The 21,869-nt window shown below is 39.6% G+C and overlaps 1 long non-coding RNA gene across 6 annotated transcripts, besides 1 other annotated feature; it reads left to right on the forward strand.

Annotated features, from left to right (window-relative positions):
* The first annotated feature begins 1,979 nt into the window (after window positions 1–1,979).
* Window positions 1,980–21,504, forward strand: LOC102723670 (uncharacterized). 6 transcript variants are annotated; one of them, XR_007064181.1, is made up of 4 exons: window positions 1,980–2,346; window positions 16,496–16,700; window positions 20,515–20,621; window positions 21,359–21,504. It is a non-coding gene; the product is annotated as an uncharacterized LOC102723670 (long non-coding RNA). The 6 variants fall into 6 exon arrangements; XR_001750775.2 differs by lacking the exon at window positions 1,980–2,346 and adding an exon at window positions 13,818–15,824; XR_001750772.2 differs by lacking the exon at window positions 1,980–2,346 and having other exon boundaries at window positions 13,776–16,700.
* Window positions 16,427–17,015: an enhancer, noted in NCBI's record as "OCT4-NANOG hESC enhancer chr14:56424611-56425199 (GRCh37/hg19 assembly coordinates)". NCBI's record gives its function as "activates a minimal SCP1, AML or CMV promoter by ChIP-STARR-seq in naive H9 embryonic stem cells {active_cell/tissue: H9 hESC(naive)}" and the evidence as "EXISTENCE:reporter gene assay evidence [ECO:0000049][PMID:30033119]".
* Window positions 21,505–21,869: the final 365 nt, after the last annotated feature.

Consider the following 21,869-nt stretch of genomic DNA (forward strand, 5'->3'; position numbering starts at 1 on the left):
TTTCTTGTTGAAAAACTTCAAATAACACTGAACAGTATAAAGTTAAAATGAAGATTCCTTGAGTTATTCCTGCACTCTTGTTCCCAAGGGGGAAAACAGTGTTAAAATTATTGGGTGTTTATCTATCTTTTTCTATGGCATTGCCTAACCATGACTCCAGCCATCAATATGGATTATATAAATGCATATAGTCTTGAGCTTTTTATACACAAGTGGAATTATACAATACATACTGCCTGAAACTCTCTTTTGCTTACTATAGTGATAATTAATTCCACATCCATATATATGGATATGTCCCATTTTAAAAGCTGTGTTGGATTCCATCCTGAGTATTGCTCATAATGTATTTGACAAGCTCTCTACTAATGGTCGTTTTAATACTTCCACTTTTTCTTTTTGCTATTAAAAACCATGCTGCAAAAAATCTCATGTATCTATATATGTGTATACTTGTTGAGTATTTCTGCAAGATATGTTCCGAGAAATGGAATTGCAGTGCTGACGAGTATGCACGCTTAAAATGATGACTATATTGCCAGATTTCTCAAGGAAAGTTGGACCAATTTGTATTCCCACCAATAAAGAATGAGTGGCTTTTCCCTGCACCTTCCGCTGTGTTTTTATTGCCATTATTTACAGTATGTGGCGGATACTCAGCCCCGCACTTAGTGTGCTTGTTGGACATGAGCACTGAGTGTGTTCTCTTTACTGTTGTTACAGAAACTTCCTGTAACACCAGCTCACTGTAGCACAGCTTTGGATCCACAGCCCAGAACTTTCTGCCTCAGTGGTAACCATTATGTGCAGTCAAAGCCCAAGGCCACCCTTGTTCACATGACAGCTGTCATTGCACAATTCTACACCATAAATTTATGCCAGGGAAAATGTGGGCAATATATTTTTCCTCCTTATCTACTTTAAAGCCTGCTAGCTATCGGGGAATTTTTTTTTTTTATTTTTGGTTTGGCTCCAGGTGTGGCCAACATTGCCAGGATCTTCTATAAGATTTAGCATTCCTATTTGCTTTTTTTCTTGGCCAGGATTGAAGGCAAATAACCAGAGGCAAGAGTTTCTAACAGATCTTTCTCTCATCAGTCAGGGATGGGGTAAGGATTGAAGAAAAGGCTCAATGTCTCCACTCCCCCACTTCTGCACCCCCCAACTCCATCCACAGTGATTAAGAGGAGTGGAAAGGGACCCCTCCCATCTCCAGTAGACAAAGTGGAGCCCAATCTCCCCACATCTTTGTAACTAGAGCAGCATTTCTTGCCTTGATCTGTTACGTATTGGGTTTATATTTAAGATTTAATTTGTCTGCAAATGTTCCAATGCTTTACACTTTTTTTTTTTTTTTTTCAAATGATTGGTGGAAAACAGAAAAGAAGCCTGTCTCCAGCTTTGCTCCCTGATTGATTCAGCTCTAGGGCTATTACCATAGTAATAGCCATCAACCTGCCCTCCAGCCTTCCAGCCCTGCTCTCAGATACTCTCCTAGGGGGCCCAGTTGGCCTGGTTTGGGGTGTCTAGGGGCCCTCCTTCCCTGCTCAGCACTCCACTCCTTTGTCCAGTCTTACCCTTTGCTCCCAGCATGTCATTGGATGGCATAGTTAAATCCCCTATTGGCAGTTGATGGTAGCACTAATTCTTCCGCCTTCTGGTCCTAATGTTTGTCTCCCTCAGTTTTGTGGGTCTGCTGCCTCTACCCCTACCTCACCCCTCTAACCTGATTGATGCTTGAAGACTCCCATCCCACTTTGTTCATATATGACAAGGTTGTCATTTTTACTAAGAGAGGGAGGGAACCACAGACGTAGAGAAATGAATGAATTTCCAAAGTACACATTTCAGATCCTGACTTTAATCCAGCCAAAGATTTGGCTGGCATTGATTAAATTATATTTATAGCCAGTCTCTAGATTCTTTTCCCCACCTAAATCTTGACTTGAATATAAGAAGCACAGATTCAGGGAGAGCCTAATAGTATACACATGTCAAGAAATCTGGGGTGCTATGGTGTGTCACCATTAGTTGCATTAGGAATCCCGAGTCCTTAAATTCAATATGAAGTGGTTTTTGTTTGTTTGCTTTTAACATTGGAGACTGCTTTGTGGAAAAGACTATTTAATTTGTTAAATGTGCAAAGCCAAAAACTGTTATTTTTTTCCCTTAGGCCGTTGAGTTCAGCTTATGGTGATGGAAAGAGAGATGTCAATAATTCCACATTTTCTGGCTTGCATTGTTTGATGAAAGGTGACCCCATTCCCTGAGTTAAAGAATGCTGAAAGAAGACCAGGCTTGAGGAGGAAGGATCATGCATTTGCTTTTGGACCTGTAGAGTTTGAGGTAATTGTAAGATATCCCAGTGGGCATGTCAGGTAAGCAATTGGATTCACATTCTGGAGCTCAGAGAAGGGATCTGGATTGGTGGTATAGTAAGTATAATGAAATAGGTACAGTTAGGTGCTATGGAAAGAAATCTTAGATGTCACACATGCTCAGTGTACAAAAATGAGATTTTCATCTTTTGTAGTAACATTACCCTATAATGATATAGTGCTTTCCAGTTTGTGTAGCCCTTTCAGATCTATTATGTAATTTGAGCACCATGACACCTCACTGAGAATTACTATTTACATTTTACAGTGGAGAAACTGAGGCTCAGGCCCTCAAGTTTTAGAGAACTTGGTGGAGTACACTTGACTCTCCACCTCACCAACTCATTCTCTCCTCTAGTTTCTCTGCCATACCCAAATGGGTATAAAAATAGAAACCCTATATTAATAAATATGTTACAATACTGTTTAACAAAATCCTATCCAAAGAATACCAGGGTTACAAAAGAGTGTGTTTGCCTTTATATGTGGAAGTGATAAGTTCTCTGAATATTGGGATGGCTACTCTGTTCTATGAAGACCTTCCCCCCAGGGATAGCATTATACCACATAGAGACAGTGCAGGGCAGGCACTGCTCAGGTTCATTTCTCCCCAGTTTTTCCAATAGTTTGCATTGATTTTTCTACTGTCTGAGTTTTAAAACCTCTGAAATTTTTGGTCTCATCCTGTGTTGTATTTTCTAGTCCAAACCAAATCCAGGAAATGTCATATGATCATATAAAATCTTTTCATGAGTATAAAGATGTGGGATGGGGGTGTGTGTCTTTATTTTGTCAGAAAGTCTTTGCCAATCCTTAAGAAACTGGTAAGTCTCAAGTGATACAGACTCCAAAAAGGTTTTTTTTTTTTTAAGAGAAGTTTCTATTTATAATGTCTCATGAAGAAGAAAAAAAAGATTTAGAAACCAATAGGAAGCAAGCCTCTTCTTGTCTAGAAGTAAGGAATCATGACCATAGCTGATGTGCCACATCCTCTCATGGATGATTTCCCCTATAACGTCCTTATTTTAAAACTCAGGATGTTGCTGCTCAGAGGGGTAAACTGACTTTCCTGTGGCCACAGAAGTACTTAATTAGAACAGGGTTTCATGGCTCATGACTTGGCCCATCTTGCCACAAGACCCCCTCGATGGAAGCAGAATTTCATGTGGCAACCTAGAGGATTGTTTTGCCATTGTACCCTTGCCTTCAGAAGGCCACATTTACATTGTCCTTATGTACTAGAATTTATATGGTTTTGTTACTGGTTCTATTAAGACAGCTAGAGGAGATTACGTGACATTCCCCCAGCAACTCGTGTTTACATTTAACTGTCCTTGTATCCAGGAAAGGCCTTAGAGCCAGTGAATTGGCAAAATTCCTTTCCTCTTTTCCAGGTAAGAAAAGCAGTCTTTTGGAATTTAACCTAAGAACTGGTAGAGTATCTGTTAATGTAAAATACCTGCATTAATTAGGGTTCTCTAGGGAAGCAGAACTGAAAGATAGATAGATAGATGCATACATACATACATACATACATACATACATACATACATACATAGAGGGGGTTTATTAGGGGAATTGGTTCTTGTGATTATAGAGGCTAAAAAGTCCCACAGTAGACCATCTATAAGCTGTAAGGAAAGGAGGAAAAGTCAGGAGTGTGGCTCAGTCCATGTCTGAAGGCCTTAGAACCAGGGAAGTCAATGGTGTCACTCTCAGTCCAAGGCTGAGGGCCTGAGAACCTGGGGGGTGGGTGCTGGTGCAAGTCCCAGAGTCCAGAGGCCAGATAACCTGGGATTCTAACATCCAAGAGCAGGAGAAGAAAGATGTCTCAGCTCCAAGAGAGGAGAGAATTATTCTCTCTGCCTTTTTGTTCTATCCAGGCCCCCAGCAGATTGGGTGGAGCCCATCCACATTGTGGGTGGCTCTTTCTTGCTTAGTCCATCAATTCTAATGCCAATCTCCTTCAGAAATGCCCTCACAAACACATCTAGAAATAGTGCTTTACCAGCTGTCTGGATATCCTTTAATCCGGTGAAATTATACCTAAAATTAACCATCACAGTATCTAAGTTGTATTTCCCCATGGAATTGTTATCTTCATAACCATTCATAATCTAGTCAGTTTTTTCAAAGTTGACTAGAAAACAAGCTGAACATTTTTCCAATACATCTATATCTACATCGACATCTGGGTCTGTATCCATATTTATCTCTACATCTGTCTACAGTTATATGCAATGTTCTCTAGAAGGGAATATACCAACATGCTAACAGCTACTGTTGCTTGCAGGTAGAATTATGGGTAATTTTTATTGTTTTATATATTTTATAAATTTTCCACAACACAATTGAATTAGCTATATAATAAAAAAGATTTTTCAAAAAAATTTTTTTTCAGGCTATCTGTCTGGGATATCACATAAATTTCAGGTCCACCTAAGTGATTGTGGGAGTGAAGGCAGTCACGTGCTCAATAATCTTGTTTAACCGAGAAGTGATATAAAAACAAGTGCAGAATAATGCAGCACTGACCTGCTGATCTATGTTCTGTAGCAATAAGAGGAAGTTGCTGGAGAGGCTTCTGGAAGGGGAGCAATTTTCAGCTGTGAGTTGACATGTATGCTTGACATCATGGTAAAAGAAGAAGAAAGAGGCTGTGAGGATGACCAAGTTCAGGGTCAGCTGTGAGAGCAACCACAGTGTGGACACAGCACAGCAAGCTGATTGGATTTGTAGCATAGCAGCTGAGTTGAAACTATGGCACTGAACATCTGCATATACATTTACTCCTTGGAGGGGCATCCACGTAAATATTTGGTCATAAATATAAGAATTACGTATTAGTATCTATGATTCCTTTAGTTGCAGATGGTTGACTAAAGCAGTCATTATGTTGGAGTCCTAATGGGGTAGGTATTGCTTGCCTGAAAAAGGTATATTTACTCTTTTTTCTCTTTATGAAAAACTCACTGGCAAAAATGGACTTTAGGTCTGAAGTTAGGCATCACTGCCCCCCCGGGAGGTGCTGCAAGACTCATTTGTATCAGATCCACCAAGTGGTGGCCAGTATGTCAGAGTGAGGAAACTAGGGATATGGCCAAAGTTCTCATATTCATATCATAACATAGGATACCACTGATATCACCAATGTTCGTATGGGGTTTGATCAAGAAGAAACTGGAATCTTCCACCTTTACCAGGCACCAAAATTCTATTGATCTTCCCCACACGACAAAGTTCCTCCTTCTTTTGGGAATGTATGGAGAAGTCTATTAGTGAGCACTGGTTCCAGACTTCCCACTGGAATCTACAGATTCTCGTGGAACTTACTAACACCACTTACTATAGGAATACTTTTTTTTTTTTTTTGAGACAGAGTCTTGCTTTGTTGCCCAGGCTGGAGTGCAGTGGTGCGATCTTGGCTCACTGCAACCTCCACCTCCCAGGTTCAAGTGATTCTCCTGCCTCAGCCCCCACAAGTAGCTGGGATTACAGGTGTGTACCACCACACCTGGCTAATTTTTGTATTTTTAGTAGATATGGAGTTTTACCATGTTGGCCAGGCTGGTCTCGAACTCCTGACCTCAGGTGATCTGCCCAGCTCGGCCTCCCAAAGTGCTGGGATCACAGGTGTGAGCTTGAACCTGGGAGGCAGAGGTTGCAGTGAGCTGAGATTGTGCCACTGCACTTGAACCACCGTGCCCAGCCCAGTACAGGAATTCTAAACAAAACAAAACAAACAACAAAGAGCAATTACAACAAAATCTAGGTACTATACCAACAATGTTACATGGTAGTTATAATGTAGGTGCAAATATTTATGGGAGTCAACATAAACCAATTTAATCAGAGTCTGCTTGTGTGGAGAAAAAAAAAATATTACTGGAAATCCACATGAGAATACTTATCAAATAGACCTGATGATGATGAACTACAAGAGGCTGGTTATATGTCAATATTTTCATAGCAAAAATATATTTAAAATATACACATATATGTATTTAGATATTAATATGTTATACATATTTAACAGATAGACATAGCATTTCAGTGGGTTAAACCAGAACAAACAGAAAAAAAAGAGTTACAAAAACTGTGTATGTTATTAGAAATGTGTGTAAGCCATTAATATAGAAAAAAATGCTATTATACTTGCAATGTTTTATACTTCCACAGCCATCATTAACAAAAAGTTGTGAGTAAGTAGTGATTCCCTAAACTAAAATATTCCTTTCCTCACTTTGGACAAATACCATGTGTATTTTTATGAACTTTCTATTGCATGTAACAAGCACATATTCTGAAAGAGTTCTGTTTCCAGTATAGTGAAGTAAGTTTTTTATCTAATAGCCTGACTCTCTGACAGGTAACAACTATAAAGTCCAGACCAAAAATCCCCCTCAAAAAACAACTATTCTTTGAGGGCTCTGGAGAGTGTAGAAGAGCAGAAAAAAAAGGGAGTCAAATTCAGACTGCTGAGTTTTACCCTCAGGGCAATCATAATGTTGGCATGAAGTTAAAACTTCAATAGAAAGTCTGTGCCTCTCTGGTGAGAGGATTTAAGGGAAGGTGAGCCTGTGTGGCTCAGCAGTCAGCTAATGTCTTGGGCATAGTTTATACTCAGAATCTGGCATTCCCTTCTCTGGTTTTCTCCTTTCTGGGTGGTATGGTTAGGCTTTGTGTCCCCACCTAAATCTCGTCTTGAATTGTAATCTCCATAATCCTCACGTGTCAAGGAAGAGATCAGGTGGAGTTAATTAGATCATGAGGGAAGTTTCCCCCATGCTGTTCTCATGATAGTGAGAGAGTTCTCATGAGATCTGATGGTTTTATAAGGGACTCTTTCCCCTTCACTTGGCACTCTTCCTTCCTGCTACCTTGTGAAGAAAGTGCGTTACTTCCCCTTCACCTTCCACCATGATTGTAAGTTTCCTCAGGCCTCCCCAGCCATGCTGAACTGTGAGTCAACTAAGCCTTTATGAATTACCCAGTCTTGGGCAGTTTTTTATAGCAGTATGAAAAGGGACTAGTACACTGGGGTTTCCCATTATTCTCCGGTGATTCCAGTTGCCCTAGATTCTTTCCCCTAAATCTTCCCACACCCTGGGCAGGCAGTGTGCATTTTGAGTCTAACCAAGTTAATTGCTTTCTAAAGAAAAAAAAACACCCTTTGAAAAAGTATAAAAGAATTGAGAGTCTCCACAACATAGTATTGATATGTTAAAGACATAGTCCAAAAGTACTTAAGAACCAGGAAGATGTGATCCATTCCTGAGGGATAGGACAATCAACAGATGTTAACTTCAAAATAATGTAGACATTAGAATTGTTAGAAAAGAGCAATGTAGACATTGGGATTGTTAGAAAAGCAGCTGGTATAACCATGCTTAATCAGGTAAAAGAAAATATGCTTTATCTCACAATTTTGTTTTTTTGGTAAAAGTGCCTAAAATCTATTCTCTTAGTAATTTTTCACTAAATAGTACAATATTATTAACCATAGTTCTCATGCTGTACATTAGATTTCTAGACTTATTTATCCCACATAACTGAAACTTTGTACCCTTTGACCTCTGTCTTCCCATTCCCTCTCTTACAACCTTCCCCACCACCCTGCCCCTGGTAACCACCCTTCTATTATCTGTTTCTATGAATTCAAGGGATTTTTGTTGTTGTTGTTGTTTAGTTTAGATTCCACACATAAGTGAGATTATCCAGCATTTTTCTTTCTGTTCTGGTTTAGTTCACTTAGCAGAAATGGAAAAAAATCCTAAAATTCATATAGAATTACAAAAAACTCCAAGTAGCTGAAACAATCCTGAGAAAGAAAAACAAAGTTGGAAGTATCACACTTCCTAATTTCAAATTATATTACAAACAATAGTAATCAAAACAGTATGCTACTGGCATTAAAAAAAAAAGTACAGACCAATGAAACAGAGTAGAGAGCCCGGAAACAAAGCCACTCATATATGGCCAACAGATCTTCAATAAGGTCACCAAAAAGATACAATGGGAAAAGAATATTTTTTTTCTACAAAACATCCTGGAAAAATTGGATATTCACATGATAAAGGGTCAAAGGGTACAAAGGTCAAAGGGTATGAAGTTTCATATGATAAAGAATGAAATTGAATCCTTATCTTACGCCACATACAAAAATCAACTCAAAATGAGTTAAAGACTTAAACATAAGATCTGAAACCGTAAAACTCCTAAAACAAAACACAGGGAAAATCTCCTTTATTGATGTTGGCAAGAATTCTTTTGGATATTGCACCAAAAGTACCGGCAGCAAAAGCAAAAATAAACAAGTGGGAGTATATCAAACTAAGATATACTTTTAATGGATGAAAAAATAAGCAATCACAGCAGAGAAATAGAAAATTTTGATATACTTTCTTAAAAGCGAAAGAAAGGGGTAAAGTTACAACAAATGTGCAAAATGTGCATAACCCGGGATGTGTCATGGTGGTGTGTCAGGCACGTGACTGCCATCTGTCACAGATGCCTGAGTGAGAAGGTGGTGGGAACAGCTATGTTACACAGTAGGGAACTGCTGACCCTTCTTTTCATTGATTGGCTGTTCTGTTTCATTTTTAGGAGAAGATTGTTACATTCAGGGCTGTGACTTAAAAATAACTATTAAGGCTCGGCGAGGTGGCTCACGCTTGTAATCCCAGCACTTTGTGGCCAGGGCGGGTGGATCACAAGGTCAGGAGATCAAGACCATTCTGGCCAACATGGTGAAACACCGTCTCTACCAAAAATACACAAATTAGCTGGGCGTGGTGGTGTGCGCCTGTAATCCCAGCTACTCGGGAGACTGAGGCAAGAGAATTGCTTGAACCCAGGAGGTGGAGGTTGCAGTGAGCCGAGATCGTGCCACTGCACTGCAGCCAGGTGACAGTGAGACTCCGTCTAAAAAAAAAACTATTAAAAGATGTATAGGCAATTGAAAATTGTATTATTACATAAAGCACCATAAAATTGACAAGAAATAAGGCAAAATATCAAAGGGCAAATGGGTAAAAGACATGGACACACAATTCCTAAAAGAAGAATTATAATAGGTAAATAAATGTATGCAAATGGCCAGCCTCACTACTCAAAGAAATACAAACTGAAGTGTTAATATCACTTCTTGCTAATTAAATTGGAAAAACTTTGATGATAATATTCAGTTCTAATTGAAGGGATAGGAAAATTGTGTATTCATATGATATATACAAATCTCTTTATAAAACAGTTTAAATGTCTTGGACAATAGTTAGCAGTATGCATCAAGAGCTACAAAAGCATTCATATTATTAAATCTAGTAACACCAATTTTGGACATTTAGGAAGTAACCTCAAACATTAAAAAGCTACATAAATGAGGTTGTTCATCACCAAGTAACTTAACAGCAAGAAATAATTTTAAAAAGGTAAAATTAAAGAAAAACTGGGCCCAAGCCCCAGCTTCATCACTCAGACAAGTCCAGTAGTGGGTCATATTGGCAGTTTCTAATGGACCATGCTTCCCCTCTGCTTGCACCTGGCATAGGCCAGTGGTTGGCTTTAAGCAAAAGAATGCAGTGGGAGTGACATTGTGTTCATTCTGGACTTAAGTTCTAAGAAGGCTTTTGCTCTTTGAGTAACTCTGAGCCACCATGCGAGAAATCCAATTACCCTGCCGGAGAGCCCATAGAAAGGAAGAGGCCCTGAGACCCCATGGAGAGAGAGACCCAGCCATCCCAGCTGAGCCCGGCCTTTTAGCTGTCCCCAGCCAGGTGCCAGACATGGGAGTGAGCCATCTAAGACATTCCAGCCCCAGCCACCATCTGATGCAGCATCATGAGAAATCCCAAGTGAGGTCAGCAAAAGAACTGTCCAGCTGATCCCCAGTCCACCCACACAATCATTTGAAATAATAAATTGGTTGTTGTTGCAAACCACTAACTTTGGTATGTTTTTAAATGTAGCACTTGATAACTGAAGCCCCAGATTAATTAAGGAAACTACTCTACCCTCATATTCCTCACCTGCAAAACTGAGTAATAATTATAGTGTCCTGAAAATAGATTTGTCATGATGGTCAAATAAGATAATGTGGTCAAAGTTTCGGAGCCTTTTCCGCCAAAGTCTGGTGTCAGAAGACGGTGAATAGCATTCGTGGGTAGCCTGGAGGGTGTGGCTTAAAGTGTCCTGCTAAACATATGCTATTTCTTAGAAGGCTTGTGTTAAACGTCATAGCTAGTTTTGAATTCTCTGTAAAGGGTCCCTGTCATTATTTTTAAACGCATCTTCTCCACTTTATACACATTCTGGTTATCTTGTGTCTTCACATCCTCCTGCAGCATCATAGGGAAGCCTCATGGATATTAATACTCCATTTGAAAGATGTAAGTACCTGTAATCTATAAATGTGGAACAAAGGATAATCACTGGTAAGAGGAGACAAACAAGGAATAGTCAAGAAAGGCAGAGGAGTCCAAGAAATTACCAGGTCTTGGAAACTGAGGGAGATTTAACAGTCAAGTGTTGCAAAAAGACCATTGGGTTGGGTGCCTGGTAAGCCACTTAATGTTCAAAGGAATGATTTCTTTGGTGAGGAGGCAAGAGCCATGGGCAGAATAAATGTGGACAGAGAAGGTTTTTTGAGGATGTAAGGAGAGCAACTGATAAGAGGAAATAACTTCAGGAAGAAGCGGGGACATAGAGAAGGTTTTTTTCTGTTTTGTTTCATAAGAGAATAATGCTGCACGTGTTTTTAATAATGGAGAGAAAAGCAATAAAGAGCAGAGAACTTGGATACAGAGAGGGGCTGATAAGAAACAAAATCCAAGAAGAACTGAGAAGCTTAGGATGGTTAATGTAAGTAAAGGAGTTAGGACCAGAGAGGGAAATGAAAGAACCATCTCTGTAATTGGAAGGAGGGAGGAAAGGGTGAGGGAAGATACAGAGACATTTAGAAATGGAGGGAAGAGGAGGGAAAATTCATGTTCTGCAGCATCAGTTGATTAGGGATCTAGGTCACCTGCAGAGAAGGGGCAGCTGGAGGCTTGAAGAGAGTGGGAAGATTTCCTATACTGGAGGAGCGATAGGGGAATCAGATGGAGGTGGGTAAAAATCCAAGTATCAGTGAGAGGCTCATTTAGGGTGGAGAATGTACATTTATTATGGCATCAGTTCCTGAATTCCTAGGATATTACAATAGGCAGGCAGACAGAGAGACAGACAGACAGAAACAATGGTGGAAATGAGTGAATTGGTGTTTCCCAGCAGTAGGGATTGAAAAGACAGGTTAAGTCTGGAGAAATGTCAGAGTGTCACAGAGGGGACGCTCATGTTACTAGAGCATCATTGACCAAACCAGGTGGAGTGTGACTTGGGCTGAAAGTGTGCCGGTGGACTAGGTGCATGTGATAGGGTCCAGGGTTGGGACATGATGGATGTTGAGAATACTCTCAGTAGGAATGAGGGAGTTAAAAAATGTTAAAAACAGTCAGAGACACTTCACATTAACAGCTCTTAAAATTTGGACCTTGCCCATAATGCTGTGTTTCAAAGTGCAATTATAATTCTGAATGTCTGAAGAGTATGGTAGCTTGAGGAAAGAAAGAAAGAAAGTGATCTTGAAGTGTTGTCTTGTGGATGGTATGAAGGTCAGTTTTATGTGTCAGCTTCGCTTGGCTATAGCCCCAGTTAACCACTAATATAGGTGTTGTCATGAAGGTATTTTGTAGCTGTGATTAAAGTCCATAATCATTTGACATGAAGTAAGGGAGAGTGTCCTCGATAATCTAATGGGCCTGGTTCAATCAGTTGAAAGGCCTGGGAAGCAGAGCTGAGGTTTCCTGGAAGAGGAAGACGTTTCTACCTGTGGACTGAAGCTTCAGTCAGTGCCTGAGAATTCCAGCCTGCCCTTCCTGATGGCCTGCTGTATAGATTTTGGACCTGCCTAGCCAGCCCCACTGTCACATAAGCAGTCCTTTCCAATAAATCTCCTAGTCCTTTCCAATATTATCTCCTAGTGTTTCTGTTTCTCTGATTGAATCCTGACTGATGGAGAAGGGATGGGATAGGGAGAAAGTCTGTAAGCTTCTACCCTCTCCTGCTCATATCGTAATTGTGGCACTTAAAAAAAAACAGGTGAAAAGATGGATGTAATTCAGGTTTGAGATGGAAAGAATAGAAGATAGATGAATGGATGGATGGGGAAGTGAAAGAGTGAGTAAGTGTGTGAGTAGATGGTTCCATACACTAAATAGGAATAAATTCTCTCTAAAATAGGAAGAAAAAACTGTTATCTACAAGTCTTTTGTGGGTGAGATAAATGCTAAAGAGTACTTCTGAAACCTAAAGTTATTGGTAAATATAAAATATGTGTTTACTATTTTAAGCATCAACTTAAAATATGAAACTATGAGAAACATTTTCAGTTGGTGTTGCCTAGAGCTGTTCTGTGCACTCAGCTTTCCAACATTAAGCAAGATGTGAGGACATGCTCTGGTGGAAATGTTGGCCTCTTGCTTAGTAGATATAAGAATGGTGGACTTGGTTCAGGACTTGAGTTGAACAGGAATCCTTTCCACTTTTCTCTCTCATGCCTTTTGCTCTTCCCTGGAGGTGGAGGAGAGAAGTGGAGTAGAACTCAGTTTTGCTTAGCAAATGTTTCCAGAGTGGCTCTTGTGAGCAGGTGAGCCTGATAGGCAATAGAAGGACCTCAAATACCACACAGAAAAGGTGGAAATTGTTCCTTGCTATTCCATCAACCAAACCTTGACTTAATTCATTTCATTAGGAAAGTTCAAGAAGGTTTTAAATTTCAGACTCAAAAGTCTGCACCATCTCTGTAGAAACAGTGAAGTATTGCCTCCATCAGAGAGCCCCTCTGATAGTTTATAGGTGTGTCAGATCAGATGAAGCAAATACATATGAGAGAAGATCCCACACTGTGTGTTGACTCCCTGCCCCAGGGTCTCATACCACCACGGGGCCGTCTCTGTAAGGATGTGGGAGAATTTTCCTACACAAAGATAAGCAGAAGCCCTGCTTCTGTCTGATACCTGCCCACTGCTGGTGCTATGATTTGTCTGGACCACAGGATGACATGGCACAAGTTTCTGTGAACAAGCTAAGGAAACCCGTTGGAGAGAAAGTATCCTAAAGGAAGAAGGAGGCTGGGCCCAGTGGCTCATGCCTGTAATCCCAGCACTTTGGGACAGCAAGGTGGGCAGACTGCTTGAGCCCAGTAGTTTGAGACCAGCCTGGGCAACCTGGTGAAACCTTGTCTCTACAAAAAATAAGAAAATTAGCTGAGTGTGATGGTGCGTGCCTGTAATCCCAGCTACTTAGGAGGCTGAAGCAGGAGGATCACTTGAGCCTTGGGAGGCGGAGGTTGCAGTGAGCCGAGATCATGCCATTGCACTCCAGTCTGGACGACAGAGTGAGACTCTGTCTCAAAAAAACAAAAACAAACAAACAGAGAAGGAGCTGGATATGTTGAACTGGCTGAGTCACAGCTTTAATCATCAGAGGAGTGCAGTGACACTAAGGACAGTGTATGGTCCATTGCTGGATTTGGATATTCTGTGGAACCTAAGCAGAGAGAGAATTAGTGGTAGGACCTGCAAGAGCTGTCCTGCTGAAAACTATAAATATCAGAAAGTATGGCTTTAGCAAGAATTACTGAAATGGGAGGGGAGAATTCAACTTCCATTTGCCATAAACCAAGCAGCTATAGCATCGTGGAAAGCCAGGGTGCTGGTGGTGATACGGCAGGGTCCCAGCTCTGGGCGAAGCATGTACTGTGCCCCGCAGGAGGGAGCTTGTTCATCAGCATACAGTAGACATGCCCTGGGACTCCGAGAAGTGCTGAGGACCTCACACATGAGACACTGCTGTTACTGTGACCCCAGCTCTACCCATAGGTGGATCTAAAGAAGGTAGGGTCACAGGAGGACTCAGAGGACTTGCTGCTTCCATCTGGTGATGAATTCTTCTGCCAAATAAAGCCTAGAGTACCATGAAGGGTCAGAAGTATTACATTGTTCATTACAATTATTTTGCTCAAACAATTTGTTAATTCTGTTATCCTATTTGTTTGTAGGTGTAGTTCAATTAAGTGCCAGCCTGCCTTGTATATAATTCTTGGTGTACGCTTGTGTTTTTGATCAAGAAAATTGAGCTATAGTCACTTTCACTTTCTTCTGTTGCTGGGCTGACTATATTCTGGAGACCTGAAATGTCCCTCCAAGGGACATTTAATGAAGGTCTCATTGCCTACTGACCTATGGGCATCAGGGAACTGGGCTGAGTTACAGTTAAGGATGGTGTATGGCTCTGTCTGCTCTTAACAGCCATTGACCAAATTGTACAGCCCCTTTATTAGAAGTTCTTGAAACCCTATGTGCACAGCAAGTTTTTCCCTCTCTCTGGTGGACCCTAAACTTCTTTATTTTTAACAGTGAATGCGACTGTGTGCCTCTTGGGGGACTTCTCCTGATGCACAGCCAAAATGTAATGTTTTGTTCACTCCTTCCTCTGAGAAGAGGACTGGATCAGCCTATGAATACTAGAAAACATGCATTTGATTTCTGCTTTCAATCATTTTTTGAGATTTATTGTTCCTGGTTGTGTACCATTAGACAGAAGTGATGGGATCAATAAAACTTGGAATTGTCTAACAAGAAAGGGCCAGTTTCTTGCTTATTATATTTGTAATAACAGAGTCCATTGGGTAGCACTCCGGTCTGTGAAAGTCAGTGAATCAATAATGCTCTTGTGGTCTGGATAATAATATACCTTGGCATGGTGTGAGTGATGCCAGCAGGTGGGCGGAGAGGCAGGGAAGGAAAGGTCTCATGCCTTTCAGGTTGACACTAAGAAAGAGGCTTCCATTCCTTTCCCTGTTCTACCACATTCTCCTAATGTGTATAAGAAATTATTCAAAGACAGCAACAGATTTCCCTCCTGACCTTTATAGTTGCTGGTTTGGAATGATTTTTGGCTGCTTGCTGGAAAAAAAAATTATTGCAGAGATGAATTGTCAGGACATCCGCTCCCCTTCCCATCAGCTTTATAAACATTTTGTACTGGAGGCAGTGTGTGTGTGCAGAAGAAACGCTATGGAAAGTGCTGTAGAAACAAGTGTGGTTTGTTGGCTACCAAATCTCAAGGCTATGCTCACTGGTCAGAATGGTTGGTGTCCAGACCCCCAGCCCCTCAGATTCTGAGATGTCTGTGTACCAGGGTAGCACCAGGGATGGGTTTTCTCTGAGACTGTCTTTTCATGATACAGTGTAAAATGTTTCCCATGAAAGGGCAGAGCTGAAGAAGCAGTGCAAGTCCATTTGAAGACCTCTGGAAGGAAACCCCCAGCGGCTCTTTTTTCACTGAACAAGCATTGTGGGAATTTGGGGCTCGGCTGTGTAATTTGTCCTCTTCTCATTCATTCAGGTACTAGGAGAGCAGGGCAGTATGGAAAGGTGCTACTTCAAGGGAAAGGCTTTGAGGTTATTGCAAATGGTGGGGGACTGGGGTGGAGTGGGCTACAGGTACAGTGACCAGAAGATGCTGAATTCCAAACTGTTTCCTAAAGCCTTTCTTCTGGACTCGACAGTTTTCAAATCTAAAGAACATATTGTGTTGTTTGCAAAGGAAATATTGTAATGGCTTCTTAGTTCATCCAGGAAAAGAGTCTGTCACTAATGGGCATTTTGTAAAATGAAATCCTTCTAGGGAGAAGGATAACTGGTCAGATTTGAAGGTTAAAAAAAAAGGTCTTGACACTGATCTCGGTTTGCAGAGAAACAAGAAATTCTGTCTGACTTCTTTTCAGTGGGAGCTAAAATTTTAACCACCCCGATTGCACTCACTTATATGAAAACGTTAATGTTAAACAAATAGGCAGGGATTTCTTTTATTATTATTTATAGAGGAGAATTTTGCCATCAGGAAACATGTTGGCTAATCTGCTTTGGCCAAATTCTCCTTAGAGACAGTGATTAATAGAAGGAATGAGTGGAAGATTAGTATACGCACAAGGCTATTCAGGAGTGGGGGTAAAATGTTAATGCGGTGACCTTTAAATCTTCATTTTTCTTTATTTCCCTGAATGCTAATTAAAGGACATGTTCAGCACCAGGAGGAATTTGCATCCAAGTCCGTCTCCCTGCTAAGTGGTATTTTGAGAATTCCGAAGCTTAGTCTCAGAGAAGAGCTGACCTGAACTTGCCGAGGCTCCCACTGCATTGTAGCTTTTCTCTGGAGAACAAAAACTGCCATTGTCCAGCAGCTCATTAGCATGACTGTACAGCCTCCGGAGTTAGCAAGGTAATTAGTTTTAGAGGTAAGTGGAGATGGGGGGAAGTTCGAAGCGCAGCATGTTTATCGAATGCTGTCCCCTGGACAACAGAGCCACTGCCTGCTTGTTAAAGAGACCTGAATTATTGCCTGCCCAGAGCTCCCAGACCCTTGAAAGAAGCAATGTGGTAATTGGGGCCTTCCTTGAAGCAAAGGGCAAAGGTAAATTTGTAATTTAGGCAATAACCTTTAGAGTGATGCCAAGGGATGCTGTCCAGAAAACATTGCCTTCATGCAGGGAGGGCAATAGACTGAAGTGCATGCTGAGTTTGGGTTGGGAATTCCTATTATCTGGGAGGAAGAAGAAACAGCTCAGATTGAATTAAAAGGAATTAGAGTTGTTAGGGAGGAAAAACTTTTGGGACTAATTTTTATAAGGGGAGCTTTGTATCAGGCATATCCTTTTCATAATGAAACTACAAGGCAGTAACATTTAAGCAAAAGTTGGATAGACATTTAAGCCTGTGTCTTCAGCTGTACTCTTCTGTAAAATGGGCATATTCTACTACCTACCTGCCAAGGTTATTCGGAGGTTTAAAGAAATTAATGTTAAAAAGTACATAGTAAAATACACATAAGTGTTTTTTATTATTATCATCATTGTTACTTATCCGTAAGCAATGTACTAGACTATGTACTAGACTATGGGGTCTAGTACATTGGGTTTGGGTAGGAGATTGAACTAAATGACCTCAAGACCCCCCTTAGCTCTTGGGTCCTATGACCCAGTAGATTAGTGGTAGAAGTATTTTGTGCCACAGATCCCTTGGGAGAGTTTTTATTTAAGGCGCACCTATTTTTTTGAGTCCCAACAGATATCTATGGAATAGTGGTTACGTCTCTACTTTTCTTGACCCACTTACAGAAATAGGTATTTATTTATTATTTATTTATGCCCTGCTTTGTTCCTAAAATATTTTAGGCAACACATTTAAAGTAACTTTGAATACGCTTTGGAACATGTACTGAATTAAACTCTTTAGTCTTGCCTCTTGTTGAAGCATAGATTTAAAAAAAGGATTTAAAGCCATCACTAACTATATTGGTAGACTGTGGTGACTAAAGCTACTATTCTTCTTTTTTTCTTTCCCTTCCTTTCTTTCCTTCTTTCTTTCTTTTTTTTTTTTTTTTTGACAAGATCTCACTCCTGTCACCCAGGTTGGAGTGCAATGGCACTATCACAGCTCACTGCAGCCTTGACCTCCCTAGGCCCAGGTAATTCTTCCATCTCAGCCTCTTGAGTAGCTGGGACTACAGGTGTGTACCACGACGTCTGGCTAATTTTAAAATTTTTTTTATAGAGACAGGTTTTGCCATGTTGCTCAGGCTGGTCTTGAACTCCTGGGCTCAAGCAATCACCCACCTCAGACTCCCAAAGCACTGGGATTACAGGTGTGAGCCACTATCTCCAAAAGCTATTTCTAGTACTGAAGACCTACTCCCTCGATAAGCCAGTCCTCTTCTCTGCTGACTGCCCCCTCTGTATGTCCCATTCATCCACTTCACGGAGTCATCAGGAAATCCCACCAGCACTAGCAGCACTAGAGACTGGCCCAGAAAGGGGATCGCAGGGTAAGAGCTTTGTGGTGGCTCTCTCCTACTCAGGTATAGAAGGAGAGAAGGAAGCAATAACTTAAAACCACCTCATTTTACCAAGCAGAGTCATTGGCCAGTATCTCTGCCAACTCCTATCAGAGATGATGCTGTAGATTCCTTATAGACCCTACTTTGATTTATGTTTTATTCTGGTCCCTTCCTGATGCCTGAACTGGTTTTTTTTTTTTTTTTTTTCTGGAAAAGGTTATAAAATTAAAGGAAAAATTCCATTCAAAATAGCATAAAAATAGTAATAATAAATTTAACAAAAGAATCCAAAGCCTCCACAACATTACATTTACAATGTGCAGAATCCAAGCTAAAATCATTTGACATACAAAGTGTGACCCAGCCTCACAAAAAAGACAATCAATGGAAACCTATCCCAAGATAACCTAGATTGGAATTCTCAAACAAGGAAATATCATAGCTATCCCCAATGAGATAATGGAATACGTACTTGTAATAAATGGGATTTAAAAATCATAGCAAAGAAATAGAAAATATTTTTTAAAAGTCAAATGAAAATTCTAGAATGGAAGATTACAATATCTAAAACAAGCGAAAATTATTAGATAGCCTGGATAGCAGAATAGAGATGATAGAAACGTGTCAATAAACTTGATGACAGAAAAAGAGAGAGAAAAGATTGAAAACATAAACAGAGCTTCAAGGATGTGGGGATAATGGCAAAAAAATCCAACAGATATGTAATTGGAGTTCCAGGAGAAAAAGAGAGAGAAAAATGGGACAGTAGGAATGTTTGAAGAAATTCAAACATTTCTTCAGTTGCCAAAAATTTCTCAAAATTGGTGAAAGATGTAAATTTACAAATTCAAGAAACTCAATGATCCCCAAACAGGACATAGATGAAGAAAATCATGCTTAAACACCTCTTAGTCAAACGGTTGAAATAAATCCAAATATAAACAGAAAATATTGAAAGCAGCCAGGGAAAACTGATACATTACCTAAAGGGGAAGAATGATTTAAATGACAGGAAGGTGTCTCCTTAGAAAGTCCAGAGGTCAAAAGACAGCAAAACAACGTGTTTTGCATACTTAGAAAAATAAAACCTATCAATTCTGAAGTTTACATTCAGCAAAAATATTCAAAATGAATATAAACTAAATATATTTTTGGATAAGGAAAAGTAAGAGAACTTATCAGGAGTTCTGCACTACAAAAAATGTTAAATAAATCTCTCCAAGATAAATGAAAATGATACTGGAGAGAAACTTGAATCTTAAGGAAGGAATAAAGATTACTTAAGATAATGGAACAATAGGTAAATATAAAAGACGATTTTTCCCTCTTTGTTTCTTTAAAATAAAGAGAATTATTTAAGAAAAAATAATGTTTCATGTAGGGCTATAATATATGAGGAAGAAATTCATATGACAACATGAGAATAAAGAAATAAAATATAGGATAAAAGAAAAGGGATTGGAGCCTATTTTATGTAAAATGGTACAATAATAACTTTAAGTAGTCCACAAAGTTAAGGATATATCTTGTAATCACTGCAGCAAATATTAACAGTAATTAATACTGTAATGCAAAGAGTATAAAAGTAATGCAAGGAGGTATAGCTAAAGTGCCAATAAAGTAATTAAAAGAAAAAATCTAAAACATGTTAAAATCCAAAGAAGTCAGGAAAGAGAGAACAGAAGAACAAAAAACAATCAGGCAAACAGGAAATAGATAATAAAATCGTAAATCTAAATCTAAACATATGAATAAATGTGTTCAATATTAGTGAGTTAAACACTTCACTTCAGAGGCAGAGGTTGTCAACATGGATTTTACAAAGCACTACCCAACTATATGCTGTCTATAAGAGTTGCACTTTAAAAATAAAAACAATGTAGGTTGAAGGTAAATGGCTAGAAAGTGGATATACCACACAAATTGAAAATATAAGAGACTGGAGTAGCTATATTAATATCAGAAAAAATAGATATAAAAGAACATTTCTAAATGATAAAAGTTTGTTCATCAGGAATACATAATAAACATAAATGTGTACATGCTGAATAACAGAGCTTCCAGATACATGAGGTAAAAATGGACAGAATCAACTGGATACATGTCACTATTATGGCACCATGTAATTATGGGTTTAGGCCCCATGATTCCAATTTAGGTTAGAAAGCATTTCTTAATGATTTCTATATGTTGGCTTTAGGTGATGCAAAAATAATATGACAAGATCCATGTCTTCAATGAGCTACAATCCTACTGGGACATGAGACTGTGCTTATAATATGATGAAAGAATAAGAAAATTTTAAAGGTGAGAAAAGAAGATTTTGTCTTCCTTTCATTCCCTTAGTATTGATAGGTGGGACTAAATAGCCACTTTTCATGACAATAACAGCTATAACAGGCAGAGCACAAGAACAAGCAGAGCTATAACAAGCAGAGCACAAGAAGGAAGAGTGCAGATCCAGGACTGGGACACTTAACCAATAATAATACAAATAGTGAGTACTGTTAGTTGATTTTCCAGGCTCCTCTTCTCACTTGTAATGGAATTACAAATTATTTTGTTGGTCATTGACACTAACCCCAGATTCAGAAGGAGATTTGATTAGAGTAGTGTGAGTATAATCTCATTGCTACTTCCATAGCAATTGGTTTGGGGTGAATACTGTTGGGTGACAGCAGAGGGAGATTATTTCATTTCCTGTGATCTGTGTTCAAGGAATTATGGTGTTTTAATTGCTGCTAGTAGCACTTTACTTTAGGATGAAACCTGGTACATACATGTAAAGCACTTTAAACAGTTCCTGGTGCAAAGTAAATGCTTAACATGTGTTCTTTATTGCTATGGTTTGAATGTATGTGCCCCTCCAAAATTCATTTGTTGGAACTTAAACCCCAAGGTGATGGTATTAAGAGATGGAGCCTTTGGAAGGTGACTGAGCCATAAGCGCTCTGCCCTCATTGATGGGATTAGTGCCCTCATAAAAGAGCTTGAGGAGCTAGTTCTCCCTTTTTGTCCTTTTGCCCTTCCTCTCTTTCTACCAGATGAAAACACAGCAGCAACAGGTGCCATTTTGGAAGCAAGAAGCAGAGAACAAGCTCTCACTGGGCATTAAATCTGCCGGCATCTTGATCTTGAACTTCTCAACCTCCAGAACTCTGAGAAATAAATTTCTATTATTTACAAATTACCCAGTCTAAGGTGTTTTGTTATAGCAGCTCAAACAAATTAAGATATCTGTTTATTGCTTTTGGTATGTGTTTGTGTTTTAATTTTCTTGGAAGGTAGAGCAGAGAGACAAAAATCACCAAATTTTGGTGACATGGTTGAAGCTCTGGGTCAAACCAATCTTTGAGTCCAGCCTCTGAACCTCGCATTAAAGTCCTTTATAGTTTAGATTGGTTAGGATTAGGTCTCTTGATGTTTGTTTTCACCTTGAGGGTTCCTAACTGCTACGGGGAGTCAGTGTGATTTAACTCTAAGTGAAGAAGAACAGTTTAGAGGGATGATCCTGCACATCTGCATGGTGATTGAATTTATGTCTCCTATAATTGT

The sequence above is a fragment of the Homo sapiens genome, chromosome 14, assembly GCF_000001405.40.
Source record: "Homo sapiens chromosome 14, GRCh38.p14 Primary Assembly".
Classification (NCBI taxonomy): domain Eukaryota; kingdom Metazoa; phylum Chordata; class Mammalia; order Primates; family Hominidae; genus Homo; species Homo sapiens.